The sequence below is a fragment of the Homo sapiens genome, chromosome 7, assembly GCF_000001405.40.
Source record: "Homo sapiens chromosome 7, GRCh38.p14 Primary Assembly".
NCBI lineage: Eukaryota > Metazoa > Chordata > Mammalia > Primates > Hominidae > Homo > Homo sapiens.
The window spans coordinates 75063643-75074097 of NC_000007.14; the positions used below are offsets into that span (position 1 = coordinate 75063643).

The following is a 10455-nucleotide window of genomic DNA, read 5'->3' on the forward strand; positions in this document are numbered from 1 at the left end:
GCGCGGTGGGTCACGCCTGTAATTCCAGCACTTTTAGAGGCCGAGGTGGGCGGATCACTTGAGGTCAGGAGTTTGAAACCAGCCTGGCCAACATGAAGAAACCCCATCTCTACTAAAAATACAAAAAATTAGCCAAGTGCGGTGGCGGACGCCTGTAATCCCAGCTATTCGGGAGGCTGATACATGAGAATCGCTTGAACTTGGGAGGCGGAGGTTGCAGTGAGCCTAGATCTCACCACTGCACTCCAGCCTGTGTAACACAGTGAGACTCCACCTCAAACAAACAAACAAAAAATAAATAAAAATAAAATGAAAAAAATGAAATAAAAATAAAATGAATAAAGGGGAATGTTTAAAAATCAATTTGGTAAAATAAAAACTTAATTTGTAAAAATTCATCCTAAGAGGGCAGGACGTGGGGGCTCATGCCTGTAATCCCAGCACTTTGGGAGGCCAAGGCAGGCAGATCATGAGGTCAAGAGATGGAAACCATTCTGGCCAATATGGTGAAACCCCCTCTCTACTAAAACTACAAAAATTAGCCGGGCCTGCTGGCACGTGCCTATAGTCCCAGCTACTCAGGAGGCTGAGGCAGGAGAATCACTTGAACCTGGGAGGCAGAGGTTGCAGTGAGCCGAGATTGCGCCTCTGCACTCTGGCCTGGCGACAGAGCAAGAGTCCATCTCAAAAAAAAAAAAAAAAAATTTATCCGGAGGTTTTACACATTAAAACCAATGCTCATGCCCCCTCTTCTCCCACCAAGCTAACACATGGCGCTCAACCTGAAACAGACAGCACTCCCCCAGCTTTCTGCTGAGTTCTCACGGCCCCCTCTCAGGCATGCCTCTGACCGCCCCGCGGGTTTACCACAGTCATCTCCCTAGAAATGTTTTGACACTTAACTCAACATGGGGAAGGGTAGGCCTTTTAGGAACTCACCTGTAAATTTCATTTTCGACCACCTTTCTTCCACATTGCCCATAAGAATTGTTTCCCATGCTGAAGACTAAAAATAACACCACCAATCAAATCAGTTCTGCAGGTTTGTGGGATCCTAGAATGTGAGGACTGGAAGGGGTCTCGCTGGTGGTCCCGTCCTGGTTACTCACCCCCACCCCCCAACTGCCCCTGGGTTTCCTTCTCCAACTTTCTCAGGCTCTGCAGAAACTCACAAGGGGCATGGGGGAATCTAGACCCGCCTTCCCCTCCTGGCCCTAGATCCACTTCTTGGGAATTCCACCTTCTGAGGCTAGAACCGGACTCCCCACACCTGTCACCAGGCTGCCCTTAACACCAATCCCCTCTAGAAAGAGCCCCTAAATGCAGCGCCTCTGCCCTGTCTGGGAAGTGAGGAGCGCCTCTGCCCAGTCGTCAACTGTCTGGGAAGTGGGGAGCACTTCTGCCTGGCCACTGCCCCATCTGGGAAGTGAGAAGCACCTCTGCCCAGCCGCTGTGCAACCTTCCAAGTGTGAAGTGACAGCCTTGTGTGTGATCTTTCCCATCTTCCCCAAGTTTGCATTTTCGACATTAACGTTTACTTTTTAATTAAAAAAAAAAAAAAAGAAAGAGCTCCTAAATGCCACCTCCGCCTTCTCCTACAGAGCACACTCAGCCAGAAAATGAAATTTGAGGCTAGGCACAGTGGCTCATGACTGTAATCTCAGCTTTTTGGGAGGCCAAGGCAGGTGGATCACTTGAGGTCAGGAGTTCGAGGCCAGACTGGCAAACATGGTGAAACCCTGTCTCTACTAAAAATACAAAAATTAGCCAAGCACAGTGGTGGGTGCCTGTAGTCCCAGCTACTCGGGAAACTGAGGCAGGAGAATCACCTGAACCCAGGAGGTAGAGGCTGCAGTGAGCTGAGATCGTGCCACTGCACTCCAGCCTGGGTGGCAGAGCAAGACTCCGTCTCAGATAAAAAAAAAGAAAAATGAAATGTGAAAAATGTGATCACATTGACCTTTCCCTGGAAAAACCCCGTTTCTAAAAAGAGGCCATGTTACCCAGGGGCCCGGACTCTGAAAGCCCCCAACTACTTAGAGTATGTGTTAGCAAATAGGCTTCTTTCAATTCCAATAGAAAAAGCCACTTCCGGCCGGGCATAGTGGGTCACGTCTATAATCCCAGCACTTTGGGAGACCGAGGTGGGCGGATCACCTGAGGTCAGGTGTTCAAGACCAGCCTGGCCAATGTGGTGAAACCCCGTCTCTACAAAAAATACAAAAATTAGCCAGGCGTGGTGGCAGGCACCTGTAATCCCAGCTACTCGGGAGGCTGAGGCAGGAGAATTGCTTGAACCTGGGAGGCAGAGGTTGCAGTGAGCCAAAATCACACCAGTGCACTCCAGCCTGGGCAGCACAGCGAGACTCTGTCTCAAAAAAAAAAAAAAGAAAAAGCCACGTCTACACACCACCCAGCTCAGGGACTTCATAGCAAATGGATCAGGCTGCCTTGTGTGCAGTTACATTTATAAATACATGTGATTTTCCAAGAACCAGAGAGCAGAGCACATAAGAATCAACAAGGTGGCCAGGTGCAGTGGCTCACGCCTGTAATCCCAGCACTTTGGGAGGCTAAGGCGGGCGGATCACGAGGTCAGGAGATTGAGACCATCCTGGCTAACATGGTGAAACCCCGTCTCTACTAAAAATACAAAAAATTAGCTGGATGTGGTGGCGGGCACCTGTAGTCCCAGCTACTACTCAGGAGGCTGAGGCAGGAGAATGGCGTGAACCCAGGAGGTGGAGCTTGCAGTGAGCCGAGATTACACCACTGCACTCCAGCCTGGGCGACAGAGCGAGACTTCATCTCAAAAAAATAATAAATAAATAAAAATAAATAAAGAATCAACAAGGTTTGTCCAGCTGTCTTGAGCAATCCCACTGATCTGCTCAGGAAATACCACATTTCACTCATTAGATGTGGCTCAATCGATCAAGCCACTCAGGCCTGATTTGAGGCTCCAGTTCACAGTGAAATGGTCCCTGCACTCTTCCATCACCCTTCAATAGGTCAACTCACCTCCTTCCCTGTCAGTCAACACAAGAGAGTGAGCTCGGCCGCAGGAGACCTGCAGCACCCGTGTCTCCTGAGGTCTGTCCAGAGGCAGGGAGACGGGTGAGGGCTCCAACACATACTCGTAGCCCCTCGCTGGAAAAGACACAGGACACTGATTGAGGCATGCATTTCTACCACTGGAAATCATACTGTCCAACTCCACGCTACTACACTGGAAAAAAGAGAGTCGGAGGTAGGAAAGACTCATCAAGACAGGTAAGTTAGGCGCAGAGCAAGGACCAGAAGCCCAACTCCCAGCCCATGGCATGGGCTGTCTCTATTACATAATGCGGGTTCCAGAAAAGCATACTTGGTCTTCTGGCTGGGCGCAGTGGCTCATGCCTGTAATCCCAGCACTTTGGGAGGCCGAAGCGGGCAGATCACCTGAGGTCAGGAGTTCGAGACTAGCCTGGCCAAAATGGTGAACCCCATCTCTATTTAAAATACAAAAATTAGCCGGGCATGGTGGCGGGCGCCTCTAATCCCAGCTACTCGGGAGGCTGAGGCAGAAGAACTGCTTGAACCCGGAAGGCGGAGGTTGCAGTGAGCTGAGATTGCGCCATTGCACTTCAGCCTGGGGGACAAGAGCGAGACTTCATCTGGAAAAAAAAAAAAAATGCATACTTCGTCTTCTTATTAAAGAAATCTTGGCCGGGCAGTGGCTCATGCCTGTAATCCCAGCGCTTTGGGAGGCCAAGGCAGGCGGATCACTTGAGGTCAGGAGTTTGATACCCACCTGGCCAACAAGGTGAAACCCCCGTCTCTACTAAAAATACAAAATTAGCCAGACGTGATGGTGGACGCCTGTAGTCCCAGCTACTTAGGAGGCTGAGGCAGGAGAACTGCTTGAACCCAGGAGGCGGAGGTTGCCAGTGAGCCAAGATTGCACCACTGCACTCCAGCCTTCTGGGAGACAGAGCGAGACACTGTTTTAAAAAAAAAATACAAAAATACAAAAATCAGCCAAGCATCATGGTGCATGCCTGTTGGTCCCAGCTACTTGGGAGGCTGAGGTGGGAGGATCACTTCCAGCTACTTTGGAGGCTGAGATGGGAGGATCACTTGGGCCAGGGAGGTTAAGGCTGCAGTGAGCAGTGATCATGACACTGCACTCCAGCATGGGTGACAGGGCAAGACCCTGTCTCCCCTTACCCCCCCAAAAAATTAAACTGTTGGAATTTGCTTCAAATTTATTGAGGGGGAAGGTGGGAAAAATGAAGAAAACGAGACTGGCATGAGTTGATGATGCCTGAAGCTGGTGATGCCACATCATACTACTCTGCACACTTCTGTAAGTCTAAAATTGCTCTGAATAAAAGGTATAAAAAATGTAACGCGGGCCGGGCACGGTGGGTCACGCCTGTAATCCCACCACTTTGGGAGGCCGAGGCAGGTGGATCACCTGAGGTCGGGAGCTTGAGACCAGCCTGACCAACGTGGAGAAACCCCATCTCTACTAAAAATACAAAATTAGCCAGGCATGGTGGCACATGCCTGTAAATCCCAGCTACCTGGAAAGCTGAGGCAAGCGAATTGCTTAAATCCAGGAGGAGGAGGCTGCGGTCAGCCAAGATCACGCCATTGCACTCCAGCCTGGGCAACGAGAGTGAAACTCTGACTCAAAAAAAAAAAAAAAAAAGTAATGTAACATCTTACAGCTAATAAAGACTTCTATACTGACTTATAAAAGACATCTGATATATAGGTCGGGCATGGTGGCTCACACCTGTAATCCCAGCACTCTGGGAGGCCAAGGCAGGTGGACCACTTGAGGTCAGGAGTTCAACACCAACCTGGCCAACGTGGTGAAACCCCCGTCTCTACTAAAATCCCCAAATTAGCCAGGTGTGATGGCGGGCGCCTGTAGTACCAGCTACTCAGGAGGCCGAGGCAACAGAATCACCTGAACCCAGGAGGTGGAGGTTGCAGTGAGCTGAGATCATGCCACTGCACTCCAGCCTGGGCGACAGCAAGACTCCATCTCAAACAAACAAACAAAAAAGATATCTGATACAAAATAAATGAAAAAAGACAGAAAACAAAATATATGCTATGTATGTAAAAATGTATTTGTCTGTGAACAAGGGAACAGGAAAAAACAAAAATGAAAGGTTTGTCCAGTATGTACTTCTGGGTAATTTCCTATGTTATTTTATATTTATTTATTTATTTATCTTTTATTTATTTTGAGACGGAGTCTTGCCCTGTCGCCCAGGCTGGAGGGCAGTGGTGCGATCTCGGCTCACTGCAACCTCTGCCTCCCAGTTCAAGCGATTCTCCTGCCCCAGCCTCCCGAATAGCTGGGATTACAGGCGCGCGCCTCCATGCCCAGCTAATTTTTGCATTTTTAGTAGAGACGGGGTTTCACCATGTTGGTCAGGCTGGTCTCAAACTTCTGATCTCGTGATCCACCCGCCTCGGCCTCCCAAAGTGCTGGGATTACAGGCGTGAGCCACTGCGCCTGGCATTTCCTCTCTATTTTAGGAACTCTTTCTTTTTTCTTTTTTTTAAGAGACATGATCTTGCTCTGTTGCCCAGGCTGGAGTGCGGTGGCGCAATCACCGCTCACTGCAGCCTCAAACTCCTGGGCTCAAGCAATCCTCCTACCTCAGCCTCTGGAGTAACTAGGATTATAGGTGCATGCCACCATGCTCAGCTAATTCTTTTTCGTTTTTCATTTCTTTTTTTTAGAGACAGAGTCTCGCTATGTTGCCCAGCGTGGTCTGGAACTCCAGGCCTCAAGCAATCCCTCCCATCTCGGCCTCCCAAAGTGCTGGGATTACAGGCGTGAGCCCCTGTGCCTGGCCAAGGAAATATTTCTTACTGTTCTCACAGTAATTTTTAGCTAATGTCTACTTTTCTGTTTGTTTGTTTGTTTGTTTAGGACAGTCTCACTCTGTCACCCAAGCTGGAGTGTAGTGGCATGATCTCGACTCACTGCAACCTCCACCTCCCAGGTTCAAGAGATTCTTGTGCCTCAGCCTCCGAAGTAGCTGGGACTATACAGGTGCGTGCCACCATGCCCGGCTAATTTTTTATATTTTTAGTAGAGACGGGGTTTCACCATGTTGGCCAGGCTGGTCTCGAACTCCTGGCCTCAAGTGATCTGCCCTCCTCGGCTTCCCAAAGTGCTGGGATTACAGGCTGCCCTCCTCGGCTTCCCAAAGTGCTGGGACTACAGGCGTGAGGCACCACGCCCAGCCAGGCTAATGTCTACTTTTTAAAATGCCATTATAAGTTATTTCTAACATTTTTACAATCCAAGGCTCAAACATTTGGAATAAAGCCTCCATGTTAACGATTTCAATGCTTTTTCCCTCCAAAACATATTCTAGGCACTGCAGAGTACTTCACGCTGTCTGTCTCCAAGCCAGGAAAAAAAGGTCATCTCTTTTAGGCCACAAAAGAACATCTTTACTTATCTGCAAATGCCAGGTGCTTGCCTTTTGCCTGAGGGTTCAACATTGTTACCAAAGAGGCTAAAAAATAACCTAGCCCAGATGGTTTCAAACAACATCCCTTTAAGTCTTCCTCTATTTCTTTGCTATTTCTTTGTTTATGTAACCATGTTCTTGAACACCAAAGGGAGGGCTGGGCGCTGTGCCTCATGCCTGTAATCACAGCACTTTGGGAGGCTGAGGAGGGTGGATCACCTGAGCTCAGGAGTTCGAGACCAGCCTGGTGAACATAGTGAAACCCCAACTCTACTAAAAATGCAAAAATTAGGCAGGCATGGTGGCATGTGCCTGTAATCCCAGCTACTCGGGAGGCTGAGGCAGGAGAATCACTTGAACCCGGGAGGTGGAGGTTGCAGTGAGCCAGGATCTCGCCACTGCACTCTAGCCTGGCAACAGACTGAGACTCTGTCTCAAAAAAAATACAAAAAAAGAGCTTTCTCAGACCAATCCCGGCAAAGAGGAGACAAGGTAGGGATGCTCACTTTTATCTTTCCGGCTCCTGTGAAATCCAAGCTGAGAATCTTTGTTGAGTCCCATCCCCCAGACTTTCGTAACATCCGCAGTCTTAGAGGACAGCAGTGTGAATCCATAGCCGCAAGCAGCAGATGAAATCTGAAAAGCAGTTCCCACAAAGCATGAACTGATTTATAATGTCAAGTTTGTTCAGTAGTAAATGACAGGTTATTTATCAAATCCAAGAACACATACTATTTACGGGGGTTTTGTTTTTGTTTTTGAGACAGTCTCACTCTGTTGCCCAGGCTGGAGTGCAGTGGCGCAATCTCGGCTCACTGCAATCTCCATCTCCCAGGTTCAAGCCTCCCAAGTAGCTGGGACTACAGGTGTGCACACCACGTCTGGCTAACTTCTGTATTTTTAGTAGAGACAGAATTTCACTATGTTGGCCCAGGTGATCTCAAATTCCCGGCCTCAAGTGATCTGTCCGCCTTGGCTTCCCAAGGTGCTGGGACTATATGCGTCAGCCACCGTGCCTGGCCCAAGAACACATATTATTAAGACAGCAACTAGCATTTATTGAGCATTTACTATATGTTTGATAAGTATTATCTCATTTAATCTTTATAATCACTCTATGAAGGGTGATTTACACATAGACCATAAATATAGTCTATTTATGGTCTATGTCAGCTTACCACTAGGTATTACCATCCCCATTCACCAAGATCAAGACACTATCTAGCAGCAGCCGAGTACGGTGGCTCACACCTGTAATCCCAGCACTTTGGGAGGCTGAGGCAGGCAGATCACTTGAGGTCAGGAGTTTGAGACCCGCTTTGGCCAACATGGTGAAACCCCATCTCTACTAAAAATACAAAAATTAGCTAGGCATGGTGGCGTGCGCCTGTAATCTCAGCTACTCGGGAGGCAGGAGAAGTGCTTGAACCTGGGAGGCAGAGGTTGCAGTGAGCCAAGATGGCGCCACTGCATTCCAGCCTGGGTGACAGAATAAGACTCTGTCTCAAAAACAAAACAAAACAAAACAAAACAAAAAACACCACCATCTCTTAGCGCGGTAGGTAAGTTGACAGATCTCCTTAGTTTTGAATCCTGGCCCCATCCTTACCAACTGTGTGATCTGAGATAGATTACTTTACCTCTATATCTGTTTCTCCTTCTCTAAAAAGTAAAGATGATAATAGTACCATCTCTCTCACTAAGCTGTTGTGAAGACTAAACGAGTTAATATAGCTAAAGCCCTTATAGGGAATAGTACCCATCTCAAGGTAAGAGCTATATTTTGAGCCTAGGCAACAAAGTGACAACCTGTCTCTATGAAAAAATCAAAATTTAAGCTTGGTCCCAGCTACATGGGAGGCTGAAGCAGGAGGATCACTTGAATCCAGGAGGTCGAGGCTGCAGTGACCCATGATCACGCCACTGTACTCCAGCCTGGGCAACAGAGCCAGATCAAAAAAAAAAAACAAACCTATATTTTGTACTCTATTTTGTATTTTAAATTTATACATATACATATACATATACATATATATATATATATATATATATATATATGGAGAGAGAGAGAGACAGAGAGATGAGTTCTCACTGTGTTACCCAGGCTGGTCTCAAACTCTTGAACTCAAATGATCCTCCTGCCTTGGCCTCCCAAAGTGCTGAAATTACAGGCATGAGCTACCGCACCTGGCCTATATTGTATGCTTTTTGTTGTTGTTGTTTAGTTTTTGTTATTGCTTTTGTTATTATATTTTCTATTTCTTATTGCTGTTAGCAGTAGTATAAGGCAGATGAGAAAGTGTGGCTTCTAAAGGTTGAGTAACTTGACTGCATGCTTTTCACTGACACTACACCGTTACGTACTCAGGCTATTACCATGAAAAGGAAAACTCAGTACTACAGCTACTGTGAATTTAACACAGTGACAACCCCAAGGTCTTTGTTGGGTGTTTTAACTACACTCTCATCAATCCTCCCTTCACTGACCCGATGAGAAAACCGGGGCTTCCAGTGAGGTTGGATATAGACCAAAGATGGTTTGATTTTAAAATCAATCCTCTTTCAGCCAGGCACAGTGGCTCACGCCTGTAATCCCAGCACTTTGGGAGGCCAAGGCGGGCGGATCGCTTGAGTTCAGTTCAAGACCAGTCTAGCAAACATGGCGAAACCCCATCTCTACTAAAAATACAAAAATTTGCCGGGCTAGGTGGCAGGACGATCTCTTGAGCCCAGGAGGTCGAGGCTGCAGTGAGCTATGATGACACCACTGCACTCCAGCCTGAGCGACAGAGCGAGACCCTGTCTCTAAAAAATAAATTAAAACAAAAAAATCCCCTTTCTGAGTTGTTCATTGAAACACCTCAGCTGGTATACATTTTCAATGGACTTTTGAATTTTGCTTTCCTAACATCAGAACTCCTGCAGTCACGCTGGCCTGAGTGAGAATTCCACCGCATATAAACAGCTAGCAGCGGTGGGGCCTCGGGCCTCAACCTCTCTGGGCCTCCCCTTCCTTCCCTGTAATTGGGAATAACTGTCGACTCACTGGGTGCTAAGCGAATGACACGACCCGGCACAACATCTGGCACTGCCACCCAATAAATGTTGATGGCCACCCCTAACGCCTTCCCCTCCTGGGCTTGCAGCCAGCTCGAGGGTCGTCCTGCCGGAAGTCTGTCCACCCAGAGGAGCCAACTTCTTGAAGAGAGCCGAACAGGTCGAGGGAGGCCGGGAGCGCGGAAGAGAGAGAAGGAGAGAAGGAGGAAGCCGCGGCCTGCACCTTTTGGTCCAGCTCCAGGCGATAGGGCACGGGCTGGATCCTGCGGCGCGGTCGGGCGCCGGCGCGGGGCCCGGGCCCGGAGCTGGGCACCACAAAGGAAGGCACGCCCAGCGCCCCCGAGAAGCTGAAGCCCCACACGAAGACGCGATCGGCGCGGGCAGCGCGCTCGCCCACGTACTGGACCACGGGCACCTCCGCCTCGGCTTCTGCCGCTTCGCGCCGGCTCCGGGAGCGCCCGGCCGCCGTCCAGTGCCCTCGCCCCAGCCCCGGCCCGCTCAGCCGCCGCCCCAGCCGAGCCCCAGCCACCAACGCCACCAGCGCCATCCTCCGTTCCGCGCCTCAGCAGCCTCTGGGCGCCGCCATCTTGCGTGACCCTTAACACCAGTCCTCGCCGGAAGAGGCTACGGCCACTTTTACTCCTGGTTGAAGGCAAAGGCGCTGACGGCAGCCCAAGGCTCAGGGAGGCGTGGCGTGGCGATGGTGAGGGGCGGGGTTAGGGGCGGGATTAGGATTCTTGTCCCTTAGCGAAACTGCGTGTCCTGTTTTGCTCCCTTGCTATTGCCCCGCGACATTTCTTACCTGGCCTTGCTGCAGCCGTCTCCGCTCCGGTCTGCTCCCACGCCGCCCCAGGCCGTCCTCCAGCGACAGCGAGCTGGAGTGGACGATTCCCTGCTGCCTTCGCAT

General features: G+C 49.5%; 1 protein-coding gene across 4 annotated transcripts in view, besides 1 other annotated feature; it reads right to left on the reverse strand.

The window, feature by feature from the left end:
• RCC1L (RCC1 like) overlaps window positions 1-10160 on the reverse strand; it is a 46684-nt gene extending 36524 nt beyond the window's left edge. For 3 of the 4 annotated variants that reach the window (NM_148842.3, NM_030798.5, NM_001281441.2), the window contains exons 1-4: window positions 9772-10160; window positions 6998-7127; window positions 3022-3150; window positions 940-1006 (exon numbers count right to left, since the gene is read on the reverse strand). In NM_148842.3, coding sequence (NP_683682.1) covers window positions 940-1006; window positions 3022-3150; window positions 6998-7127; window positions 9772-10095 — 650 coding nt within the window. In that variant the 5' untranslated portion in view covers window positions 10096-10160. Of the gene's footprint in view, window positions 1-939; window positions 1007-3021; window positions 3151-6997; window positions 7128-9537 lie in introns of all 4 variants that reach the window. The other variant, NM_001363447.2, reaches the window with a different exon arrangement.
• Window positions 9846-10065: a silencer, noted in NCBI's record as "silent region_18290". NCBI's record gives its function as "represses an Ori minimal core promoter by ATAC-STARR-seq in GM12878 lymphoblastoid cells {active_cell/tissue: GM12878}" and the evidence as "EXISTENCE:reporter gene assay evidence [ECO:0000049][PMID:35858748]".